The sequence below is a fragment of the Homo sapiens genome, chromosome 17 (genome assembly GCF_000001405.40).
Source record: "Homo sapiens chromosome 17, GRCh38.p14 Primary Assembly".
Taxonomy (NCBI): Eukaryota; Metazoa; Chordata; class Mammalia; order Primates; family Hominidae; genus Homo; species Homo sapiens.
This window is the reverse complement of record NC_000017.11, coordinates 1233405-1260336: the sequence shown is the minus strand read 5'-3', so window position 1 is coordinate 1260336 and position 26932 is coordinate 1233405.

Sequence of the window (26932 nt, the reverse complement as noted above, 5' to 3'; positions counted from 1 at the left end):
TGGGGCGGGGGCGGGGAGCTGGGGGGTCCCTCCACCGCCCCTGATTTATGGGCCTCTGTGTGAAGGAGATTTATGAGCTAAGACCGGGGCCGGGACGCGTCGGGAGGCGCCCCAGGGGAGGGACTCGGGGGTCGCCGCCGCCTGAATCCCGCCGCAAGTGGGGGTCGCGGGAGGGGCCGAGGCTGCGGACCCCGCTCCTGGCGCTTCCCTCGGCTCCAGCCTCCCAGGGTCGGGCTCTGAGCTGGGGCGCCCGCGTTGGGGGATTCTTCACGGTCCTTGTTATCCGTCGCCCCGTTTTCAGATGAGAAAACTGAGTCTCAGTAAGTTTCCCCTGACTGCAAAGCTTCCGTTCTCAATTACTTTATTTATTTAATTTTTTTTTTTTGAGGCGGAGTCTCGCTCGGTCTCCAGGCTGGAGTGCAGCGGCGCGATCTCGGCTCACTGCAAGCGCCGCCTCCCGGGTTCACGCCGTTCTCCTGCCTCAGCCTCCCCCGAGCAGCTGGGACTGCAGGCGCCCGTCACCACGCCGGGCTAATTTATTTTTGTATTTTATTTTTGTAGAGATGGGGGTGGGGTGGGTCTCATTTTGTGGGCCAGGCAGGTCTCGAACTCCGCCCGCCTCGCTTGGCAAAGCGCCGGGACTACAGGCTGAACCGCGTGCCCGGCGGGAACTGGGCTCCTCTCTTTGGCATCTCTCCCCACTCACTCCTTTTCTGTCCCTTTTGATCGGCTCCTCTTCTTCCGACAATCCCTTAAAGGTCAAATGTCTCCTTTCAGCTGCAGCTTCTCTCCCGACGTTCAGAGCCGTGTTCCCGTGTCCGGGTGACCGTTCCGCAGACATCTCCACCCAGTTCCCACACTCTGCTCCCTGGCTCCCCGGCTCCCCACCGGGGTGAACGAGCAAAGGAACAAAACCATCGCCCACCCTCCCACCGCCTCCCGCCATCATTGTGGCGGACTCAGAAGGGAACTTTTTATTCCTAGACTCCAAACCTTAGCAACTTTGGAAAGAGAAACGTGGGGCGTGAAGAACAAAAGTGGAACCCCGGCGCCCTCTTCTGGTCAGAAAGTGGAACTCCAGGCCGGGCGCGGTGGCTCACACCTGTAATCCCAGCACTTTGGGAGGCCTGGGCGGGCGGATCTCTTGAGGTCAGGAGTTCGAGACCAGCCTGGCCAACATGGCGAAATCCCGTCGCTACCAAAATACAAAAATTAGCCGGGCGTGGTGGCGGGCGCCTGTAATCCCAGCCACTTGGGAGGCTGAGCCAGGAGAATCGCTTGAACCTGGGAGGTGGAGGTTGCAGTGAGCCCAGATCACGTCACTGCACTCCAGCCTGGGCGACAGAGCAAGACTCCATCGTCTCAAAAAAAAAAGAAAAAAGTTGAACCCCATGAAGCGCTCAGTTCAGGCCTCTTGTTGGGCTAAGGCCCTGCTGCTTGGTGCTGTCCACCTGGGGCTGCCCCTGCAAAAGCTGAAGTTTTATGTCTTGTCATCTGTGCTGGGAGAGGAAGCTGCTCTTTTGCGCTGGTCAGGTTCTTCCTGCACTTCTCTTGGAGGACCTTCAGGTCTTCATCATGTACAACCCGCAGTTTCATTGCACGTAGCCCACCTCTCCTGTCTCAGAGGAAAAATTGATACCATCAGATGCGAACCCTCAGCTTCCTGCCTGGGCCCACAAAGAGATCTGTCTGCACCCATTTGCACGTCCTGCTGTCTGAAGATAACCCTGCTGCTGGGGCGGTGGGGGAAGCATCTCCACTCCCACCCTCACAGAAGGTACACTTTGAGCCGCTAGCTATTATTCCCTCTCTCCAGTTGCTTTTTGATCTTTCATGGGTTTTTGGGGGGTGTTTTTTTGTTTTTTGTTTTTGCTTTTTGAGACAGGGTCTTATTCTGTCACTGAGGCTGGGAGGCAGTAGCATAATCACAGCTCACTGCAGCCTCGACCTCCTGGGCTCAAGCAATCCTTCCACCTCAGCCTCCCGAGCAGCTGGGATTGCAGGCATGCGCCACCAAGCCCGGCTAATTTTTTGTATTTTCAGTAGAGATGGGATTTCACCATGTTGGCCAAGTTGGTCTCGAACTTCTGACCTCGTGATCCACCCACCTCCGCCTCCCAAAGTGCTGGGATTACAGACGTGAGTCGCCGCGACCGGCCACCCATTTTTTGTGCTTTAATGAACGTTATTTTTTAGAATGATTTTAGATGTACAGAAAAACTAGGCCGAGCGAGTGGCTCCTGCCTGTAATCTCAGCACTTTGGGAGCCTGAGGTGGGTGGATCACTGGAGGTCAGGAGTTTGAAACCAGCCTGGCGAACATGGTGAAACCCCGTCTTTACTAAAAATACAAAAAGTAGCCAGATGTGGTGGCACACACCTGTAATCCCAGCTACTTGGGAGGCTGAGGCAGGAGAATCGCATAAATCCAGGAGGTGGAGGTTGCAGTCAGTGGAGACTGTGTCATTGCAATCCAGCCTGGGGGACAAGAGTGAAACTTTGCCTCAAAAGAGAAAGAAAGAAAAAAAAAAGATGTACAGAAAAACTGAGAAGCGAATACCAAGAGTCCCCCATGTATCCTGAACCCATTTCCTTGTTATTAACATATCACATTACTGTAGTACATTTATTACAATTAACGAATCAATATTGTCATATCATTATTATTAAGAAACCCTGTCTCTACGAAAAATTAAAAAATTAGCTGGGGGTGGTGGTATGCATCTGTAGTCCCAGCTACTCAGGAGGTTGAGGTGGGAGGATCCCTTGAGCCCAGGAGTTTGAGGCTGCAGTAAGCAAAGATCACGTCACTGCACTCTAGCCTGGGCGACAAAGCGAGACCCAGTCTCTAAAAAGTAGAAATAGGCCGCACGCGGTGGCTCATGCCTGTAATCCCAGCACTTTGGGAGGCCGAGGCGGGTGGATCACCTGAGGTCAGGAGTTCAAGACCAGCCTGACCAACATGGCAAAAACCCGTCTCTGCTAAAAATACAAAATTCGCCGGGTTCGGTGGTGCATTCCTGTAATCCCAGCTACTTGGGAGGCTGAGGCAGGAGAATTGCTTGAACCTGGGAGGTGGAGGTTGCAGTGAGCCAAGATCGTGCCACTGCACTCCAGCCTGGATGACAGAGCAAGACTCCATCAAAAAAAAAAAAAAAAAAAGTAGAATTAAAAAAGGGGTTTCAGGCCTACAAGGAGTCAGAAAAATTTCCCTCATGTGCATGAAATTGAGGCAGGTGAACATGATCAAAGAGATCAGAACTGCCTCAGAGATAGGAGTCTGGCAGGTGAGGGAAAGGAAGAAGGAAGTGCTGGGCAGCCGGGGAAGCTTGGCGAGGGGTGGACTGGTGAGCATGGGGCGTCAGCCTTTGTCCCCCGACCCCCACCCGCACACATACAGCCGGATGGGCCCCGGCTCTGTGGCCTCCAACTCTCACCCTTGAAGCTGCTGCAGTGAGCGCCGGAGAAAGAAGCCAGGAAGGAAACTGCTCCCACCCAGCACCTCCACCCGCCAGGAGCTGGCCGGTGTGGTTTCCATTTCTGCTTGTTTTCCTGGCGTCCACCCTCCGTTCTCTCACTAAAGTGATCTCTCTTGGCCGGGTGCGGTGGCTCACGCCTGTAATCCCAGCAATTTTGGGAGGCTGAGGCGGGTGGATCACCTGAGGTCAGGAGTTCAAGACCAGCCTGACCAACATGGTGAAACCCCATATCTACTAAAAATACAAAAAGTAGCCGGGCATGGTGGTGGGCACCTGTAGCCCCAGCTACTCAGGAGGCTGAGGCAGGAGAATCGCTTGAACCCGGGAGGCGGAGCTTGCAGTGAGCTGAGATCGTGCCATTGCACTCCAGCCTGGGCGACAGAGTGAGACCCTGTCCAAAAAAAAAAAAAAAAAAAAAAAAAACAACTCCCTTTTCTGTTGGAGCATCTCCATTCCTTTGTCCTCAGCACTTCGAATGGGATTGGCTTATGCCTGTCGGAGACTCCCCTCTTGGCCACAGCACATGGTTCAGGGACAGGCAGTTGCCAGTCAGAGCCAGTAAGATACCCAGAGAATTTTGCTGGAGCTGCCAGGAATGAAATACCTCCTGCTTGTGTGGAAATTGACTGAATAGACTCACACCTGCTGGACATACATGAGCATGGCTCTAGCTCTGGGAAATGACTGTCCATCGAGCAACCGTGAAGACGGGAGCAGGTTGGAGAATGGAGCTATTTGCAACAAGAAAAGAGAGCCGGGAAATGTGTTAAGAGAAAAACCAGGCTCTTGGTTACATTGTTTGAACGCTAGATCTCACCACGCCTAAAGATCTATCCCAAAACTCTTCAGTTACATGGGCCAAAATACCCTCTTTATTATTGAAGCAGTGTATTGACCTGTTACTTAAGCCGTTGTTTGCAATGTGAGGAGTCTGAAGGAATACGGATGGTCAGAGTCCATTTAATGTGTATATCTTGATTGTAAGGCTTGATCTTTTTTTTTCTTTCTTTGTTTCTTTTTTTTTGGAGGTGGAGTCTTGCTCTGTCGCCCAAACCCAGGCTGGAGTGCAGTGGAGCCATCTTGGCTCAATGCAACCTCTGCCTCCCAGGTTCAAGCGATTCTCCCGCCTCAGCCCCCTGAGTAGCTGGGATTACAGGTACCCGCCACCATACCCAGCTAATTTTTGTGTTTTTAGTAGAGATGGGATTTCACCGTGTTAGCGCTTTTTCTTTCTTTTTGAGACAGGATCTGACTCTGCTGCCCAGGCTAGAGTGCAATGGTGTGATCACGGCTGTCACCTCTGCCTCCTGGCTCAAAGCAGCCCTCCCGCCTCAGCCTCATGAGTAGTTGGGACTGCAGACGCCTGCCACCACGCCTGGCTAATTTTTGTGTGTTTTGTAAAGACAGAGCTCACCATGTTGCCCAGGCTGGTCTTGAACTCCTGGGCTCAAGCAATCCCCTCACTTTGGCCTCCCAAAGTGCTGGGATTACAGGCGTGACGCACCACGCGTCCCCCCACCCCGCCTTAATCTTTATAAGGACCATGAGGTGCTTGGAAGATGCAGAGATAAACAAGGTGGAATTCTGTCGTTAAAGAGCCCCTTCTTAGTCAAAAGAAGGAGAGGAAGAATGGCTTGAACTTGAACTCTGCCTCTTTTGAAATGCAAATATCCCCAATTAGTGATGACACAGATTCTACAAAATCAATTAATAGACATATCCTTGGCAGCCCAGCTGTGAAAGCCTGTCTCAGGTCACTGCTGGAGAGGCTGCTGATACAAAAAATTGACATTTGATACTTTTGCTCTAAAGATTTGGGATTGAGTAAGTCAATGCGTTCATCAATGAAATAGCAGCCTTTGAAAAACGCACCGTCGTGGCTGGGTGCGGTGGCTCACGCCTGTAATCCCAGCACTTTGGGAGGCCAAAGTGGGCAGATCACGAGGTCAGGAGATCGAGACCGTCCTGGCTAACATGGTGAAATCCCGTCTCTACTAAAAATACAAAAAATTAGCTGGGCGTGGTGGCGGGCGCCTTTAGTCCCAGCTACTCGGGAGGCTGAGGCAGGAGAATGGCATGACTCAGGAGGCGGAGATTGCAGTGAGCCGAGATCGTGCCACTGCACTCTGGCCTGGGCGACAGAGCAAGACTCGTCTCAAAAAAAAAAAAAAAAAAAAAAAAAAAGAAAACCATCATTAAATGGGATTAGCAAAGCTTTATTATTTACGTATTTAATTTTATTTTTGAGATGGAGTTTCGCTCTTCTTGCCCAGGCTGGAGTGCAATGGTGCAATCTCGGCTCACTGCAACCTCTGCCTCTTGGGCTCAAGCAATTCTCTTGCCTCAGACTCCCAAGTAGCTGGGATTACAGGCGACCGCCAACACGCCTGGCTAATTTTTTTGTATTATTATTATTTTGAGACGGACTCCCGCTCTGTCGCCCAGGCTGGAGTGCAGTGCCGCGATCTGGGCTCACTGCAAGCTCCGCCTCCCGGGTTCACGTCATTCTCCTGCCTCAGCCTCCCGAGTAGCTGGGATTACAGGCACCTGCCACCACGCCTGGCTATTTTTTTTTTTTTTTGTATTTTTAGTAGAGACGGGGTTTTGCCACGTTGGCCAGGCTGGTCTCGAACTCCTGACCTTGTGATCCGCCCGTCTCGGCCTCCCAAAGTGCTGGGATTACAGGCGTGAGCCACCGCGCCTGGCGGACATTGGGATTTAAGATTTCAAGGCAGGATTAGGCTGAGGTCCTCGGGTGGCCGTGTGACCTCTGCACACCCAGAAGCGCCTTCCTCCCTGCGCCTGCGCCAGGTCCAGCTTTGGGCTCCTGGGGTCTCAGCCAGTGCGCGGTCTTCCTGCCTCAGCTCCACGGGGAGCTCTTGGACGCTCCGCAGCGCTTTCGCAGAGTCCCCAGTTCTCCCGTCCCGCCGGGACTCCAGGAAGGGGTGAGTGTTTGAAGGCTCCTCCCACGGAGCGTGAGCATTTCCTGTACAGCAGCTGGGCAGCCTCTCAGCGGACTGGTGTGAGCTGGGGCTGCGGGGAAGGTTCCAGAACAGCGGGCTATGTTTAACCTGGCACAGGTGCCCAATTCCCAGCTCAGGGAAGGGGCGTGGTAGGTGGGAAACAATCTTGCTTTCATTGTTTTTTATCATTGCATTATTTTTTACATTAAAAAAATTTTTTTTGAGACAGAGTCTTGCTCTGTCGCCAGGCTAGAGTGCAATGGCACGATCTCGGCTCACTGCAACCTCCGCCTCCCGGGTTCAAGCGATTCTCGGCCGGGCGCGCTGGCTCAAGCCTGTAATCCCAGCACTTTGGGAGGCCGAGGCGGGCGGATCACGAGGTCAGGGGTTCGAGACCAGTCTGACCAACACGCTGAAACCCCGTCTCTACTAAAAATTCAAAAAATTAGCCAGGCTTGGTGGGGGGCGCCTGTAGTCCCAGCTACTCGGGAGGCTGAGGCAGGAGAATCGCTTGAACCTGGGAGGCGGAGGTTGCAGTGAGCCGAGATTGCACCATTGCACTCCAGCCTGGGCGACAGAGTGAGATTCCATCTCAAAAAAAAAAAAAAAAAAAAAAAAATAGCCATTCTCCTGCCTCAGCCTCCCGAGTATCTGGGATTACAGGCGCCCTCCAACATGCCAGCCTAATTTTTGTATTTTTAGTAGAGACGGCATTTCACCATGTTGGCCAGGCTGGTCTCAAACTCCCAACCTCAGGTGATCCTTCTATCTCAGCCTCCCAAAGTGCTGGGATTACAGGCGTGAGCCACTGCACCCAGCCCATCGTTTATTATTTTATTAAACATTTAGGATGCTGGATTCAGTGGGCATCTTCACCTGGTTTCATTACTAGTTTTCCTTTTCACAAATCCTTCCGGCTTGTTATTAAGAAATAACTTTAGGGGCCGGGCGCGGTGGCTCACGCCTGTAATCCCAGCACTTTGGGAGGCCAAAGTGGGCAGATCACGAGGTCAGGAGATTGAGACCATCCTGGCTAACACGGTGAAATCCCGTCTCTACTAAAAATACAAAAAATTAGCCAGGGGTGGTGACGGGCCCCTGTAGTTCCAGCTACTCGGGAGGCTGAGGCAGGAGAATGGCTTGAACCCGGGAGGCGGAGCTTGCAGTGAGCGGAGATTGCACCACTGCACTCCAGCCTGGGCGACAGAGCGAGACTCCATCTCAAAAAAAAGAAAAAAAAGAAATAACTCTCTCCCCCAGGGGCCAAAGAGGGCCGGGGAGAAAATGAAATTGACCAAGTGTCAATGAACGAGGGCAGGGGAGGGATAAATGCTCCATCCTGCTCCTTCAGCAGTGGGCGTGGGTCCAAAACGACTGTTAGACTCATAAATTGCTCACTTATCCTCCCTGTTTGCTCCAAATGGCTGGAAAAGCTATTTCTGCTAATCACAGGCGTAGGCCCGTTGCTGGAAGGGGGCCAGCCTGGGCCCAGCAGGAGTGTGAATTGCACCCGGATTCATTATCTGTATCTAGTCCCACATTTTAGTGGTAGGTTTTTGTTTGATTTCAAAGTGAGATGGTTAGGTCATTATTTGTTAAATTATAGCTTTTAATTAGCAGATCTATTGAAATGAAAAGCCTGGAAGAGACACACACACACACACACGCCGCTAAGTTTTTGTTTGGAATTTATAATTATTACTGTTAGGAAAACATTAGTTGGGGGCGTTAAAGTCATTTTTTTTTTTAAAGAAAATCTTCAAATTATGCGCTGTTGGGGGAAGGGGGGAGGGAGACACCAGTGAGCTAGAGACCTCCCGTAATGCCAACAGTATTATTACCCAGCCCCGGGTCCTTGTCTTTTTAGAAAGAAAGGGAACAGATGGGTTTATAGTAATTCATATTCTTTCTCCTCACGGCGGGAATCAGAGATTAAATCAGTGGGTAACCAAGACTGGCTGCCATGGAGTTCTGCTCCGTTCCTAATTCCCCTGGAAGGTAGGGAGGATGGTTGAGGGGCGGTGGGGTTGGAGCAGGGCAGTGTGGTGGGGAGTGGGTCAGCCTTGGTAGATTTGCCTCTGGGGGTTTAGTTTCTGCCTTTTGGAGGAACAAGGAGAGGCTAATATTCTCTCTCTCTCTTTTTTTTTTTTGAGTCTTGCTCTGTCGCCCAGGCTGGAGTGCAACAGCGAGATCTCAGCTCACTGCAACCTCCGCCTCCCGGGTTCAAGTGATTCTCGTGCCTCAGCCTCCCGAGTAGCTGGGACTACAGCGTGCACCCACTCCCGGCTAATTTTTGTATTTCTAGTAGAGATGGGGTTTCAACATGTTGGCCAGGCTGGTCTCGAACTCTTGACCTCGTGATCCACCTGTCTCGGCCTCCCAAAGTGCTGGGATTACAGGCGTGAGCCATGGTGCCTGGCCGGCAGTGATCTTGATCCCCACCCTCTTCCCCAGGGTTGGGGTGCGGGGGTGAGTTCCAATTCAGATGTCTTCCATCTTCTCTTATTTTGAAGCCCCTTCCTTTGAAAACAGGACACTTTGCAAAGGTCACTTGTAACCAGAGGCTTTCTGGTTGTGTGTTAAGGGTTTTTCTGAGTGAGCTTTCCCAGAAGGGGAGATGAGAAAATAGCCTATTAATAAATAGCACGTTGTTCTAAAAGAGTTAGGGGCTTCTGGCCAGGCGTGGTGACTCACACCTGTAATCCCAGCACTTTGGGAGGCCGAGACAGCTGGATCACGAGGTCAGGAGATCGAGACCATCCTGGCTAACACAGTGAAACTCTGTGTCTACTAAATATACAAAAAATTAGCCCGGCGTGGTGGCGGACGCCTGTAGTCCCAGCTACTCGGGAGGCGGAGGCAGGAGAATGGGGTGAACCTGGAAGGCGGAGCTTGCAGTGAGCCGAGATGGCGCCACTGCACCCAGCCTGGGAGACAGAGCGAGACCCTGTCTTAAAAAAAAAAAAAAAAAAAGAGTTAGAGGCTTCTGTTGTTATTGGGGAATTGTTTGTTTGTTTTGATTTTGCAAAACCTGAGTGTGGATCTGATGCTCCGCCTCCCCATCTTGCCTTCATCCTTATGCTTAACAATCCCATTTACTCCACTCTAGGAGTAATCAAAGATGTACAACCCTCTGCCTGTGGGGGAGAACAGCACAGATAAGAAGCGCAGAATCGGGAATTGTTTTCTGATGAGCAAATGTCAAATTTTATCGATGAGCTTTGGGGATGAGAGAAAGGGTTATCATGATAGCCTGAAGCAACTTAGATTCATTGCTCTGGATCTCTGATGGCAGAATACATGTTTGGGAAGTGATTCCACACGCAAATTTTGGTCTCTGAAAAAGGCTAGAGCAAGAAATAAATACAAGAAAAGGCATTAAAGCTTTTTACTCCAGTAACAACAAAAACCAAAAATTTAATTTTTGTAATTTCATGTTATTGAAAATCTACTCCAACTACATGTTTTGTTATTTTTTAAGCACATAATTGCTGCAGCGGCAGCTGTGTGCACTGGAGGGAATGGAATTCCGTCTGTCGTTCACGTGACTTTTCTTCCCCTCCACAGCCCCCAGCAAGGGTCCCCATGATCTTCCCTCCACAGCACCCAGCAAGGGTCCCCATGATCTTCCCTCCACAGCCCCCAGCAAGGGTCCCCATGATCTTCCCTCCACAGCCCCCAGCAAGGGTCCCCATGATCTTCCCTCCACAGCCCCCAGCAAGGGTCCCCATGATCTTCCCTCCACAGCCCCCAGCAAGGGTCCCCATGATCTTCCCTCCACAGCCCCCAGCAAGGGTCCCCATGATCTTCCCTCCACAGCCCCCAGCAAGGGTCCCCATGATCTTCCCTCCACAGTCCCCAGCAAGGGTCCCCATGATCTTCCCTCCACAGTCCCCAGCAAGGGTCCCCATGAACACAATTAAAACCACTGCACTAGGGGCCGGGCGCGGGGGCTCACGCCTGTAATCCCAGCACTTTGGGAGGCCGAGGCAGGTAGATCACGAAGTCAGGAGATCGAGACCATCCTGGCTAATACGGTAAAACCCCGTCTCTACTAAAAATACAAAAATTAGCCAGGCGTGGTGGCGGGCACCTGTAGTCCCAGCCACTTGGGAGGCTGAGGCAGGAGAATCGCTTAAATCCAGGAGGCGGAGCTTGCAGCGAGCGGAGATCACGCCACTGTACTCCAGTGTGGGCGACAATGCAAAATACAGTCTCAAACACACACACAAAAAAAGATGGGAATTCTACCAAACCTTTCAAGAGAAGATAATACCAGGGCTATTTAAATTGTTCCAAACTATAGGAAAAGAAGAAAAACTTCCAAAATCTTTTAAAAGGATGAGCACAAGACTGGTACCAAACCCAGGAAAGATTCCCCTAAAAATATAAATGTAGAAATATCTCAGGCATTAACATTAATGCAAAAAGTACACATTCAATATTAGTAAACGGAATATAGCATATTTATTTATTTATTATTTTATTTTATTATTTTTTTGAGACTGAGTCTCGCTCTGTTGTCCAGGCTGGAGTGCCGTGGCACGATCTCGGCTCACTGCAACCTCCACCTCCTGGGTTCAAGTGATTCTTCTGCCTCAGCCTCCCATGTAGCTGGGATTACAGGCGCCCGCCACCATACCCTGTTAATGTTTGTATTTTTAGTAGAGATGGGGTTTCACCATGTTGGCCAGGCTGGTCTTGAACTCCTGACTTCAGGTGATCTGCCCACCTCAGCCTCTCAAAGTGCTGGGATTACAGGTGTGAGTCACCATGCCCGGTCTAATTTTTTTTTGAGATGGAGTCTCGCTCTCGCTGTGTCGCCCAGGCTGGAGTGCAGTGGCGAGATCTTGGCTCACCGCAACCTCTGCCTCCTAGGTTCAAGTGATTCTCCTGCCTCAGCCTCCTGAGTAGTTGAGACTACAAGTCTGTGCCACCACACTTGGCTAATTTTTGTATTATTAGTAGAGACGGGGTTTTACCATATTGGCCAGGCTGGTCTTGAACTCCTGATCTTGTGATCTGCCCGCCTTGGCCTCCCAAAGCCGGGATTACAGGTGTGAGCCACCATGCCCGGCTAGCCTAATTTTTTTTTTTTTTAGATGAGGTCTCACTCTGTCACCCAGGTTGGAGGACAGCAAGGTGATCTTGGCTCACTGCAACCTTTGCCTCCTAGGCTCAAGCGATCCTCTCACCTCAGCCTCCCAAGTAGCTGGGACTAGGGGAGTGTGCCGCCACCCCTGGCCTGCATATTTAAGTTAACATATCATGGCTGGGCGTGGTGGCTCACACCTGTAATCCCAGCACTTTGGGAGGCCGAGGCGGGTGGATCATCTGAGGTCAGGAGTTAGGGACCAGCCTGGCCAACATGATGAAACTCCATCTCTACTAAAAATACAAAAAATTAGCGTAAGCCTGTAATCCCAGCTACTTGGGAGGCTGAAGCAGGAGAATCACTTGAACCCAGGAGGTGGAGGCTGTAGTGAGCTGAGATTGCACCATTGCACTCCAGCCTGGGCAACAAGAGTGAAACTCCGTCTCACACACACAAAAAAATAATAAAATTAACATGTTATGACCATGTGGTGTTTATTCTGAGAGAATTCAAGGATGGTTCATCACATGAAACTTTACCACAATAACCCAGAAATTCCTCTTCTGGTACTAGCGGATTAGATAATTTAGGACAATTCTTTCCTTGAAGAGAAATTTAAATACTGGACAGAATAACAAAAACACTATCCAAAGCCTCAAAGAGTTAACAGGATAAGGATCAGTTACTGGAGATGTTAGAAATGAAGATTGATGGGCTGGGCGCGGTGGCTCACGCCTGTAATCCCAGCACTTTGGGAGGTGGAGGCGGATGGATCACGAGGTCGGGAGATCGAGACCATCCTGGCTAACATGGTGAAACCCCGTCTCTACTAAAAATACAAAAAATAGCCCTCTCCCTCTCCCTCTCCCTCTTTCTCCCTCTCCCTCTCCCCACGGTCTCCCTCTCCCTCTCTTTCCACGGTCTCCCTCTGATGCCGAACCGAAGCTGGACTGTACTGCTGCCGTCTGGGCTCACTGCAACCTCCCTGCCTGATTCTCCTGCCTCAGCCTGCCGAGTGCCTGCGATTGCAGGCGCGCGCCGCCACGCCTGACTGGTTTTCGTATTTTTTTGGTGGAGACGGGGTTTCGCTGTGTTGGCGGGGCTGGTCTCCAGCTCCTAGCCGCGAATGATCCGCCAGCCTCGGCTTCCCGAGGTGCCGGGATTGCGGACGGAGTCTCGTTCACTCAGTGCTCAATGGTGCCCAGGCTGGAGTGCAGTAGCGTGATCTCGGCCCGCTACAACCTCCACCTCCCAGCCGCCTGCCTTGGCCTCCCAAAGTGCCGAGATTGCAGCCTCTGCCCGGCCGCCACCCCGTCTGGGATGTGAGGAGCATCTCTGCCTGGCCGCCCATCATCTGGGATGTGAGGAGCCCCTCTGCCTGGCTGCCCAGTCTGGAAAGTGAGGAACGTCTCTGCCCGGCCGCCATCCCATCTAGGAAGTGAGGAGCGTCTCTGCCCGGCCACCCATTGTCTGAGATGTGGGGGCGCCTCTGCCCCGCCACCCCGTCTGGGATGTGAGGAGCGTCTCCGCCCGGCAGCCACCCCATCCGGGAGGTGAGGGGCGCCTCTGCCTGGCCGCCCCTACTGGGAAGTGAGGAGCCCCTCTGCCCGGCCAGCCGCCCCATCCGGGAGGGAGGTGGGGGGTCAGCCCCCCCGCCCGGCCAGCCCCCCCATCCGGGAAGTGAGGGGCGCCTCTGCCCGGCCGCCCCTACTGGGAAGTGAGGAGCCCCTCTGCCCGGCCACCACCCCGTCTGGGAGGTGTGCCCAGCGGCTCATTGAGAACGGGCCATGATGACAGTGGCAGTTTTGTGGAATAGAAAGGCGGGAAAGGTGGGGAAAAGATTGAGAAATCGGATGGTTGCCGTGTCTGTGTAGAAAGAGGTAGACACGGGAGACTTTTCATTTTGTTCTGTACTAAGAAAACTTCTTCTGCCTTGGGATCCTGTTGATCTGTGACCTTACCCCCAACCCTGTGCTCTCTGAAACATGTGCTGTGTCCACTCAGGGTTAAATGGATTAAGGGCGGTGCAAGATGTGCTTTGTTAAACAGATGCTTGAAGGCAGCATGCTCGTTAAGAGTCATCACCACTCCCTAATCTCAAGTACCCAGGGACACAAACACTGCGGAAGGCCTCAGGGTCCTCTGCCTAGGAAAACCAGAGACCTTTGTTCACATGTTTATCTGCTGACCTTCCCTCCACTAGTGTCCTATGACCCTGCCAAATCCCCCTCTGCGAGAAACACCCAAGAATGATCAATTAAAAAAAAAAAAAAGAAATTGAAAAAAAAAATACAAAAAATAAAATAAAATAAAATAAAAAATCTTAGGGGGAAAAAAAGGTAAAAAAAAAAAAAAAAAAGAAATGAAGACTGATGAGCAAAGCACTCGGAATCACTTTCTCCAGAAATATTTGATGAAGGTCTAAGATGTCCTTTTTTTTTGAGACAGTCTCACTCCATCGCCCAGGCTAGAGGGCAGTGGAGAAATGATCTCGGCTCACCACAGCCTCCGCCTCCAGAGTTCAAGAGATTCTCCTGCCTCAGCCTCCCAAGTAGCTGGGATTACAGGCGTGAGCCACCATGCTTGGCTGATTTTTGTATTTTTAATAGAGACGGAGTTTCACCATGTTGTCCAGGCTGGTCTCGAGCTCCTGACCTCAGGTGATCCACCCGCCTCGGCCTCCCAAAGGGCTGGGATTACAAATGTGAGCCACTGTGCCTGGCTTTTTTTTTTTTTTTTTTTTTTGAGATAGGGTTTTACGCTGTCACCCAGGCTGGAGTGCAGTGGCATGATCACAGCTCACTGCAGCTTCGACATCCTAGGCCCAAGCGATCCTCCCACTTCAACCTCCTGAGTAGCTGGGACTACAGGCGTGCAGCACCATGCCCAGATCATTTTTCATTTTATTAGAAACTGAGATGTCGCTGGGTTGCCCAGGCTGGTCTTGAATTCTTGGGCTCAGGAAGTCCTCCTGTCTTGGCCTCCCAGAATGCTGGGCTTACAGGTGTGAGCCACCACACCCTGCCTAGTTTACTTTCTTAATATGTAGTATTGAAACAGCTGTATCAAAAAACAAAGTTAGAGCCATACTTACTGCATATGAGCAGAAATTCCAATTGGATCAAAGATTAAAATGCAAAAAAACAAAAAGAAAATATAAAAACATGATTTTATGAGTGCAGAGTAAGGCCTTTCTTACCATATCACAATATCAAAAATCCACCAAAAAGAAATCAGTAAATTTGGCTAAATAAAAAAGTCTGCAGGGAAATTGTAAAGTTCCATGGTTTGATTGTTTATTCCCTCCACAACTCATGTTGAAATTTAATTGCCATTGTAACAGTTTTTTTTTTTTTTTTGAGGAGTCTCACTCTGTTGCCCAGGCTGAAGTCCGATAGCACGATCTCAGCTCACTGCAACCTCCACCTCCTGGGTTCAAGTGATTCTCCTGCCTCAGCCTCCTGAGTAGCTGGGATGACAGGCGTGCGCCACCACGTCTGGCTAATTTTTGTATTTTTAGTAGAGATGGGGTTTCACTGTATTGGTCAGGCTAGTCTTGAACTCCTGGCGTCAGGTGATCCGCCCACCTCGGCCTCCCAAAGTGCTGGGATTACAGGTGTGAGCCACCGCACCCGGCCTGTAACAGTGTTCAACAGTGTTCGGAGGTAGGACTTTTAAGAGGTGATTAGGCCAGGAGGGCTTCACCCTTGTGTGTAGGCTTAACGCTATATCTTATAAAAGGGCTTTGCCCTCATCTGTAGTGGATTAATGCCATCATTGTATAAAAGGGTACGTCTGGGGCCCTGTTGCTGCTTGCCTCTCCGCCCTCTGCCGTGTGAGTAACACGCTCCCTCTCCCTGGATGATGAACTTACAAGGCTCTGTCTTGGAAGCAGAGATCAGGCCCTCACCTGGCACTAGGCCCGTCGCTGCTTTTTGCTTTCCAGAACTGTGCATTTCTGTTAGTTATACATGTCCCAGTCTCAGGTATTGTTACAGCAGCACAAAATGGACTAATGCAATAAGCAAAGTCAAATGATAAACGACAAGTTTGGAAAAATATTTTCAACTCATATCACAGGCAAAGAGCTAAGTTCTCTGGTATTTAAAGAATTCCTACAAATGGATAAGAAAAAGATTAACAGCCCAAGAGGAAAATGGGCAAAAGACTTAAATAGATGGGCCGGGTGCGGTGGCTTACCCTTTCATCCCAGCACTTTGGGAGGCCGAGGCGGGTGGATCACTTGAGGTCAGGAGTTTGAGACCAGCCTGGCCAACATGGCAAAACCCGGTCTCTACTAAAAATACAAAAATTAGCCAGGTGTGGTGGTGGGCGTCTGTAATCACAGCTACTCGGGAGACTGAGGCAGTAGAATCGCTTGAACCTGGGAGACAGAGGTTGCAGTGAGCCGAGATGGTGCCATTGCACTCCAGCCTGGGCGACAGAGCGAGACTGCATCTTGGGAGAAAAAAAAAAAAAAAAAAGATTTCCACAGAAAAAAGAGAAATGGCTCTTATTATGAAAACATTCTTAAGCCAGTCATAATAAGATAAATGCAAATTAAAACTATATTGATATATCATTTTCATGTGTTATACTAGTAAAATTCCAAAATTTGATATCACACTGCATGGGCCAGGGCATAAGAAAACAAGCACTCTCAGACATTGTTGGTGGGGGGGTACATTGACACCATGCCTCAAGGGCAGTTAGTATTTAGCTGGGCATGGTGGCACATGCCCAGCTACTTAGGAGACTGAGGCAGGAGAATTGCTTGAACCTGGGAGGCGGAGGTTGCAGTGAGCTGAGATCGCACCGTTGCACTCCAGCCTGGGCAACAAGAGCGAAACTCCGTCTAAAAAAAAAAAAAAAGCCTCAAACTCCTGGGCTCAAATGATCCTCCTGCCTTAGCCTTCTGAGGAGCTGGCACTACAGGTGCTGGTCTGGAACTCCTGGGCTCAAGCAATCCTCCTGCCTCGGCCTGCCATAGCGCTGGGATTATAGGCATGAGCCACCACGCCCGCAGAGAGTTCTGTGAGGGTCCTTACGTCAACCCAGAACAGACATTTTTGTTTGCCTGCTCCTTTTTTCTTGCCAACAAGGCTCTGATTTCTCATGGGGAAATTAACGCTTCCCAGGTTCTCAGCCATGTGGTTTAGGTGCAATTAACCTGCGCCCTCAGCTCCAGGGATAGATGCTAGTTGGCTTACGGCAGTGCCCCTGGCAGCAGTGATTGGTTTAAAATAGAACGAGACCATCCTGGCTAACAAGGTGAAACCCTGTCTGTACTAAAAATTCAAAAAATTAGCCGGGCACGGTGGTGCAACCTCTGCCTCCAGGGTTCAAGCGATTCTCTTGTCTCAGCCTCCTGAGTAGCTGGGATTACAGGTTCCTGCCACTGGGCCCTGCTAATTTTTATAGTTTTAGTAGAGATGGGGTTTCACCATGTTGGCCAAGACTGCGCCACTGCACTTCGGCCTGGGCAACAGAGCAAGACTCCGTCTCAAAAAAAAAAAAGAAGAGGCCGGGCGCGGTGGCTCACATCTGTAATCCCAGCACTTTGGGAGGCCGAGGCGGGTGGATCACAAGGTCAGGAGATGGAGACCATCCTGGCTAACTCGGTGAAACCCCGTCTCTACTAAACAAAATACAAAAAATTAGCCGGGCGCGGTGGCAGGTGCCTGTAGTCCCAGCTACTCGGGAGGCTGAGGCAGGAGAATGGCGTGAACGCGGGAGGCGGTGCTTGCAGTGAGCCGAGATGGCGCCACTGCACTCCAGCCTGGGCGACAGGGCGAGACTGTCTCAAAAAAAAAAAAAAAAAAAAAAGAAGAAAATAAGCCAGGTGCAATGGCTCATACCTGTAATCCCAGCACTTTGGGAGGCCAAGTAGGGTGGATCATTTGAGCCCAGGAGTTAGAGACCAGCCTGGGCAACATGGTGAAACAAACCAGAAAACCAAACTACCAAAAAAAAACCAAAAAACAAAAACTAGCAAAAAAAATTAGCCAGGCTCGGTGTTGCACATCTGAAGTCCCAGCTACTAGGGAGGCTGAGGTGGGAGGGTCCCTTGAACCCAGGAGGTTGAGGCTGCAGTGAGCAGTGAGTGAGCCACTGTACTCCAGCCTGGGCGACAGATTGAAACTGTCTCAAAATAAATAAATTGGGGGCTGGGCATGGTGGCTCACACTTATAATCCCAGCACTTTGGGATGCTGAAGCAGGAGGATCACTTGAAGCAAGGGGTTCGACACCAGCCTGGGCAACATAGCAAGACCTTGTCTCTACAAAAAATAAAAAATTAGCCAAAGCAAGTCTCTCTGTCAGTCTCTCTCTCTCTCTCTCTGTCTCTCTCTTTAAGTTCCAGTTGGAGAACTACCAAAGTGGACCTAGTTCCCCCAGGGAGAGGTGCCAGAATCGAGAGAGATGTTCATTTTTTTTTTTTTTTTTTGAGATGGAGTCTCGCTCTGTCACCCCGGCCGAGATGTTCATTTTTTATCTTATATAATTCTGGATTCTTCCAGTTTTCTTTCACAAGCCCTTATTGCTTTTGTAATTTAGAAAATGTGGAAAACAGAAGTTGCACATGAGACCTTTGCTTGCTTGTTTCTAGAAAGAGAGGCGTGGAATTGGCAGAGCCCTGGCAGCGTGATGAGGAAACAGACCCCATTCTGCAGTAATTAGAAAACGTCATGATACAATGCCACGTGAAGCACACACCAGCACCTGGCAAAACGCTCAACCTGGATCAAATTACTGGGAAACATCAGATGGGTCCAGATTACGCAGGACACTCTCCATGACGACTGGCCTGGAATCCTCAAAAACAGCAATGCTGTGAAAGACATAAATAAAACAGAAAAAAAGGTAGGAGGGCCAGGCGCAGCGGCTCACGCCTGTAATCCCAGCACTTTGGGAGGCTGAGGCAGGTGGATCACGAGGTCAGGAGTTCAAGACCAGCCTGGCCAAAATGGTGAAACTCTGTCTCTACTAAAAATACAAAAAATTAGCCAGGTGTGGTGGCACATGCCTGTAATCCCAGCTACTCAGGAGGCTGAGGCAAGAGAATCACTTGAACCCAGGAGGCGGAGGTTTCAGTGAGCCAAGACTGAGCCATTGCACTCCAGCCTGGGCGACAGAGCGAGACTCCATCTCAAAGAACAACAACAAAAACCAGGCACAGTAGCTCACGCCTGTAATCCCAGCACTTTGGGAGGCCAAGGTGGGCAGATCACGAGGTCAGGGGTTCGAGACCAGCCTGACAAACATGGTGAAACTCCATCCCTACTAAAAATACAAAAATTAGCCGAGTGTGGTGGCGCACACCTGTAGTCCCAGCTACTTGGGAGGCTGAGGCAGGAGAATTGCTTGAACCCAGGAGACAGAGGCTGCAGTGAGCCGAGATTGTGCCACTGCACTCCAGCCTGGCCAACAGAGCAAGACTCTGTCTCAAAAAAAAAAAAAAAGGTCCAATAGCTAGAATATATGAAAACTCTTACAACTCAACAATAGAAAGGCAAACAGTGCAACTAAAAATTGGGTTAGGAATTTGAATAGACAGTTTTCTAAAGAAAATATATAGATGCCCAGTGGGAATGTAACTGCCCAAGGGGTTCACCCTGCCCACCGCCCAGACAGGGAGGCTTCATCAAGACAGGGGATCGCAATAGAGAAAGAGTAATTCACGCAGAGCCGGCTGTGCGGGTGACTGGAGTTCTATTATTACTCTAGTCAGTCTGAGCACTGGGGAGTAGAGTTTTTTTTGTTTTTGTTTTTGTTTTTTTTTGAGACGGACTCTCGCTCTGTTGCCCAGGCTGGAGTGCAGTGGCACTATCTCGTCTCACTGCAAGCTCTGCCACCCTGGTTCAAGCGATTCTCCTGCCTCAGCCTCCCGAATAGCTGGGACTACAGGCGTCCACCACCATGTCTGGCTAATTTTTTTGTATTTTTAGTAGAGAGCAGATTTTACTGTGTTAGCCAGGATGGTCTCGATCTCCTGACCTCGTGATCCGTCTGCCTCAGCCTCCCAAAGTGCTGGGATCACAGGCGTGAGCCACCGCGCCCGGCCAATGGGAACAGAGTTTTTAAGGATAACTTGGTGGGTGGGGGAAGCCAGTGAGCCAGGAGTGCTGATTGGTCAGAGGTGAAATCACAGGGCGTCAAAGCTGTCTTCTTGAGCTCAATCGTTCCTGGGTGGGGTCCGCAAGATCAGATGAGCCAGTTTATTGATGTGGGTGGTGTCAGCTGACTCATGAAGTGCAGGGTTTCCAAAATATCTCAAGCGCTGATCTTAGGAGCAGTTTAAGGAGGGTCAGAATCTTCTGGCCTCCAGCTGCATGACTCCTAAACCATAATTTCTAATCTTGGGGCTAAAGTTAGTCCTGCAAAGGCAGACGAGTCCCCGGGGAAGAAGGAGGTCTGCTTTGGGAAAGGGCTGTTACCGTCTTTGTTTAAACTATAAACTATAAACTAAGTTTCTCCTAAAGTTAGTTCAGCCTATGCCCAGGAATGAACAAGGGCAGCTTGGAGGTTAGGAGCAAGCCGGAGTCGGTCAAGTTAGATCTAACACTGTCTCAGTCATCATTTTGGAAAGGTGGTTTCAAGACCATGCATATGTGTTCATCATTAATTATTAGGCAAAGGCAAATAAATCAAAACCATGACGAGGCTGGGTGCAGTGGCTCACGCCGGTAATCCCAGCACTTTGGGAGGTTGAGAGGGCTGAGAGGACTGGGTGCGGTGGCTCACACTGGTAATCCCAGCACTTTGGGAGGCTGAGGTGGGAACACAGATTGAGCCCAGACTTTGAGACCAGCCCCGGCAGCATAGTGAGATCTCGTCTCTACAAGACAGTTAAAAAAATAATTAGCTGAGTGTGGTGGCAGGCACCTGTGGTCCTAGCTACTCAGGAGGCTGAGGTGGGAGGATCACTTGAGTACTGGTGCTTGAAGCAGCAGTGAGCCGCAACTGTGCCACTGCACACCAGCCTGGGCGACAGAGCAAGACCCTATCTCAAAAACAAAACAAGGCCGGGCGCGGTGGCTCACGCCTGTCATTCCAGCACTTTGGGAGGCTGAGGGCAGGCGGATCACGAGGTCAGGAGTTTGAGACCAGCCTGACCAACATGGTGAAACCCTGTCTCCACTAAAAATACAAAAGTTAGCCAGGCGTGGTGGCAGTCACCTGTAATGCCAGCTACTCAGGAGGCTGAGGCAGGAGAATCGCTTGAACCCAGGAGGTGGAGTTTGCAGTGAGCTGAGATTGAGGCACTGCACTCCAGCCTGGGTGACAGAGCAACACTCCATCTCAAAAAGAAAAAAAAACCCCGAAGGAAACAACAACCAGAGAAACCACAATGAGATACCACATCACACGCACTAGGGTGGCTATGATACAAAAAATGCACACTAGTGTGGGAAAGAATGTGGAGCAGTTGGAGCCCGTATACGCCGGGAAGGTAAAATGACGTAGATGCTTTGGAAACGGTCGGACTGTTCTCTGATAAGCGAAATTCAGAGTGACCATATGAGCCAGCAATTTCGCTCCTAAGCAGAAACAGAGAAAATGGAAAACATGTCCATACAAAAACTTGGACACGGCCAGGCACAGTGGCTCACACCTGTAATCCCAGCACTTTGGGAGGTCGAGGTGGACGGATCACATGAGGTCAGGAGTTCCAGACCAGCCTGGCCAACAGGGTGAAACCCCATCTCTACCAAAAATACAAAAATTAGCCGGGTGTGGTAGCACACACCTGTAATCCCAGCTACTCAGGAGGCTGAGTGAGGCAGGAGAATCGCTTGAACCCGGGAGGCAGAGGTTGCGGTGAGCCAGGATGGCGCCACTGCACTCCAGCCTGGGCGACAGAGGTAGACTCTGTCTCAAAAAAAAAAAATCTATCTCTCTATCTCTCTGTCTGTCTATCTATCTATCTATCTATCTATCTATCTATCTATCATCTATCTATCATCTATCTATCTATATTTATATATCTGACAAAGAGCATGAATAAATAATATAAAGAACTAGACAGGCCATGGCTGGGCGTGGTGGCTCACGCCTGTAATCCCAGCACTTTGGGAGGCTGAAGTGGGTGGCTCACAAGGTCAGGAGATCGAGACCAACCTTGTTAACATGGTGAAACCCCGTCTCTACTGAAAAAATACAAAAAAATTAGCCAGGCATGGTGACGGGCGCCTGTAGTCCCAGCTACTAGGGAGGCTGAGGCAGGAGAATGGCGTGAACCCGGGAGGCGGAGCTTGCAGTGAGCCGAGATTGTGCCACTTTACTCCAGCCTGGGCAACAGAGCGAGACTCCATCTAAAAAAAAAAAAAGAAAAGAACTAAACAGGACAGGTGCAATGGCTTAGGCCTGTAATCCTAGCACTTTGGGAGGCTGAGGCAGGTGGATCACTTGAGTCTAGCAGTTTGAGACCAGCCTAACAACATGGTGAAACCTGGTCTCTACAAAAAATACAGAAATTAGCTGAGCGTGGTGGTACGTACCTGTAATCCTAGCTACTCAAGAGGCCGAGGTGGAAGGATCGCTTGAGTCTCAGAGGTGGATGTTGCAGCAAGCTGAGATGGTACCACTGCACTCCAGCCTAGGTGACAGAGCAAGACCTTGTCTCAAAAAAAAAAAAAAAAGAGCTAGAGCATACTGGCTCATGTCTGTAATCCCAACACTTTGGGAGGCCAAGGAGGGAGGATCACTTAAGCCCAGCAGTTCAAGTCCAGCCTGGGAAACATAGGGAGAACCTGTCTCTACAAAAAAGAAAAAAAACCATAGCCAGGCATGTAGTCCCAGCTACTTGGGAGGCTGAGGTGGGAAGATTACTTGAGCCCAGGAGTTCCAGACCAGCCTGGGCAACAGACCTCAAGACCTTGTCTCAAAAAATATAAAAATAAAAAAAGGACTATTACAAGTCAACTCTAAAAGGATATCCAATAAAAAATGGACAAAAGATGTAAACAAACACTTCATAAAAGAAAATATGCAAATGGTCAATAAGTACATGAAAAGATGTTATACATCATTAATAATCAAATTAAACCACAACAAGATAGTATTATATACCCACTAAAGTGGCTAAAGCAAAAAAAACTTACAACACTAAGTGTTGACATGCACATAGAACAATGAGATGCACACACATTGCTGTTAATAATGGAAAACAGGCTGGGCGTGGTGGCTTACGCCTGTAATCCCAACACTTTGGGAGGCCGAGGCAGGCGAATCACCTGAGGTCAGGGGTTCCAGACCAGCCTGGCCAACATGGCGAAACCCCGTCTCTATTAAAAATACAAAAAATTAAAAAAAAAAAAAAAGGAAAATAGTACAGACACTTTGGAAAACATTGTATGGTAATATCTTTAAAAGTTAAACATACAGTTTTGGCCGGGCGCGGTGGCTCACACCTGTAATCTCAGCACTTTGGGAGGCCAAGGCAGGCGGATCATGAGGTCAGGAGGTCGAGACCGTCCTGGCTAACACAGTGAAACCCTGTCTCTACTAAAAAAATACAAAAAATTAGCCGGTCACGGTGGTGGGCGCCTGTAGTCCCAGCTACTCGGGAGACTGAGGCGGGAGAATGGCGTGAACCCGGGAGGCAGAATGAGCCAAGATAGCGCCACTGCAGTCCAGCCTGGGCGAAACAGCGAGACTTCGTTTCAAAATTAAAAAAAAAAAAAAAAAGAAAAAAGAAAAGTTAAACATACAGTTTCCTTATGACCCAGCAATCCCATTTCTGTATTTTTTGTGGGGAATAGAAATGAAAACACTTGTCCACACAGAGACAACTCCAATGTCTATCAACTGGAGAATAAACAAATAGGGGTATATTCATACAATGGAATATTCTTCCACAATAAAAAGGAATGAATTACACAAACTTGAATGACTATCTTTTATGTTTGTTGAGACGGAGTTTTGCTCTTGTTGCCCAGGCTGCAGTGCAATGGTGTGATCTTGGTTCACTGCAACGGCCTCCCGAGTTCAATCAATTCTCCTGCCTCAGCCTCCTGAGTAGATGGGATTACAGGCACCCGCCACCCCGCCCAGCTGATTTTTGAGTTTTGTGTTTTGTATTTTTTTTTTGTTTTTAGTGAGGATGGGGTTTCAGCATGTTGGCCAGGCTGGTCTCACTGCTGATCTCAGGTGATCTGCCCCCTCGGCCTCCCAAAGTGCTGGGATTACAGGCGTCAGACACTAAGCCTGGCCCTGAATGACTGTCTTAATCTCATCAAACCACACTTGTTTATCTGCAAAATAATGATAATAACACTTTTGTCACAGCGTTAGAATGAAGGTTGAATGCCTGTTTCCACCTAGTGTGTTAAAATGCCTATTTCCGACCCTGGGGTATGGGAAGGGAAGGAAGGAGATGTAAACAACAGTGCAGGTTGAACTCAGAAACACTGTGTTGTTTCAACAGTCCAACACCAAGACTACATTCTTTCATACAAGATTCTAGGAAGGGGCCGGATGCGGTGGCTCACACCTGTAATCCCAGCACTTTGGGAGGCCGAGGTGGGAGGACGGGCTTGAGCCCAGGAGTTTGAGACCAGCCTAGGCAACATAGTGAGACCTCATCTCTACAAAAAAAAAATAAATAAAAATCACCACATGTGGTGGCTTGTGCTCCCAGCTACTTGGGAGGCTGAGGAGGGAGGACTGCTTGAGCCTGGGAGGTCGAGGCTGCAATGACGTGTGGTCGCACCACAGCACTCCGGCCTGGGAGATGGAGTGAGAGCCTGTCTAAAAAAAAAAAAAAAAAAAAAAAAAAATTCTAGAAAAGGCAAGACTGTAGTGACAAAAATTCTAGAAAACTGGGTGCCTGGTGGGGTGCGGTGGCTCACACCTGTAATCCCAGCACTTTGGGAGGCCGAGGTGGGTGGATCACAAGGTCAGGAGTTCGAGACCAGCCTGACCAACACGGTGAAACCCTGTCTCTACTAAAAATACAAAAATTAGCTGGCCGTGGTGGTGCATGCCTGTAATCCCAGCCACTCAGGAGGCTGAGGCAGGAGAATCGCCTGAACCTGGGAGGCGGAGGTTACAGTGAGCTGAGATTGCGGCCACTGCACTCCAGCCTGGGAGACAGAGCAAGACCTTGTCTCAAAAAAATAAACCAAAAACGAAGTTTAAACTTAATTTGCCAGGCCCTGGGACCTAGTGGGTGCTCAACAAATATTTATTGATTAAAGAAATGCCAGTGACAGATGCACCTGGACCAAGTTCTTACAAAGCTGCAGGACTACAGAATCTAGCAGGCTGAACGTGGTGGCTCACACCTGTAATCCCAACACTTTGGGAGGCTGAGGCAGGAAGATCGCTTGAGCCCAGGATTTCTGGACCAGGCTGGGGAACATAAGGAGACCCTGTCTCTACAAAAAAAAAAAAAAAAAAAAAAAAAAGCTGGGTGTGGTGGCGTGCACTTGGGAGGCTGAGGTGGAAGGATGGCTTGAGTACCGGAGGCTGAGGCTGCAGTGAGCTATGATAGCATCACTGCACTCCAGCCTGGGTGACAGAGTGAGACTCTGTCTCTTTTTCTTTTCTTTTTTTTTTCAAGATGGAGTCTCACTCTGTCGCCCAGGCTGGAGTATGGTGGCACGATCTCTGCTCACTGCAACCTCCGCCTCCCGGGTTCAAGTGCTCCTCCTACCTCAGCCTCCCACCTTACCCAAGTAGCTGGGATTACAGGCACCCGCCACCACACCCGGCTAATTTTTGTATTTTTAGTAGAGACGGGGTTTCACCATGTTGGCCAGGCTGGTCTCGAACTTGTGACCTCAGGTGATCCACTTGCCTCGGCCTCCCAAAGTGCTGGGATTACAGGCATGAGCCACTGTGCCCCGCCTACCCTGTCTCTCAACAACAACAACAAAAAAAAAAAAAAAAAAAAAATTCAGCAGACTAGCTGTGTGGCTTCTAACCTCTTTGACCTTCCATTTCTGTCTGTCTGAAGCGGCGACAATAATACCTTCTTCACAGGGTTGCTGTGAGGAATTAGAAGAGATAAAAAATGTATGGCAGCTAGAGGTGTGGACTCAATAAATGTCAGCAGCCTACCCCTGTCCCCATGAGGACCCAGAGCCAAGTCATAAAGCTTGAGCTATCCACCAGCTGGGGACAATGCAGGCTGCTCCTGGGATCTGTTTATAGAAGATGATGTGTGCTGCCATTTCCAGCTCTACTGGTCCTTGTGGAAAAAATTAGTGGTATTGGTAACAATTTCCTTGGGCCAAAAGAGAATCATACCACGGCTTTAATTAAAGGACAGATTTGAAACTATCCTCCCAGGGAACTTGCACTTTCAGAAATGGATGCGTATTAGTAACCTGTAGTTTTCTTTTTCTTGGTGCATTTAAATATACATATTGAAACAGTTTCCAACCAATATGCTGTTGCCTGGGGTCATCCCTCACTTCTGGACTGCTCTTCCTCTCCCATTCTGAAATCTGTATACAGAGGCCAAGATGTCGTGGACTCCCTTTGATGGACTCTCCCTGGCGTGGGCTGGCGATAGGCATTGGAAGCTTCTCAGTCCTTCTCAGTGGACAAAGGAGATTGTGATGGCCCCTGGGATGTGCAGTGAAGGTGGGAGAGAAAGCAGGTTGAGGAGCTAGGTGAAAGATCGAGAAATCACTCAAACTGGGGAATAGGAAGTTAGTGCATTTTATTTTTATTATTTATTTATTTATTTTTGAGACGGAGTTTCGCTCTTGTTGCCCAGGCCGGAGTGCAGTGGCACAATCTCGGCTCACTGCAACCTCCGCCTCCTGGGTTCAAGCAGTTCTCCTGTCTCAACCTCCTGAGTAGCTGGGATTACAGGCGTCTGCCACTACGCCTGGCTAATTTTTGGTATTTTTAGTAGAGACGGGGTTTCAACATACTGGCCAGGCTGGTCTGGAATCCCTGACCTCAGGTGATCTGCCCGCCTCGGCCTTCCAAAGTGCTGGGATTACAGGCATGAGCCACCGCACCCGGCCAAAGTAGTGTATTTAAAACACGTGGGTGGAGCACGGTGGCTCACGCCTGTAATCCCAGCACTCTGGGAGGCCGAGGCGGGCAGATCACCTGAGGTCAGGGATTCCAGACCAGCCTGGCCAGTATGTTGAAACCCCGTCTCTACTAAAAATATAAAAATTAGCTGGGTGTGGTGTCACGTGCCTGCAATCCTAGCCACTCGGGAGGCTGAGGCAGGAGAGTCACTTGAACCTGGGAGGCGGAGGTTGCAGTGAATGGGGATTGCACTCCAGCCTGGGTGACAGAGTGAGACTCTATCTCAAAAAAAAAAAAATAGAATAATAATAACAAAAAACATATCCATTTCTCCATAGCAGTCTGGCGTGAAGACAAACACTGGGATGATTCATGCCAGTGGCACACCGAGTTAGAA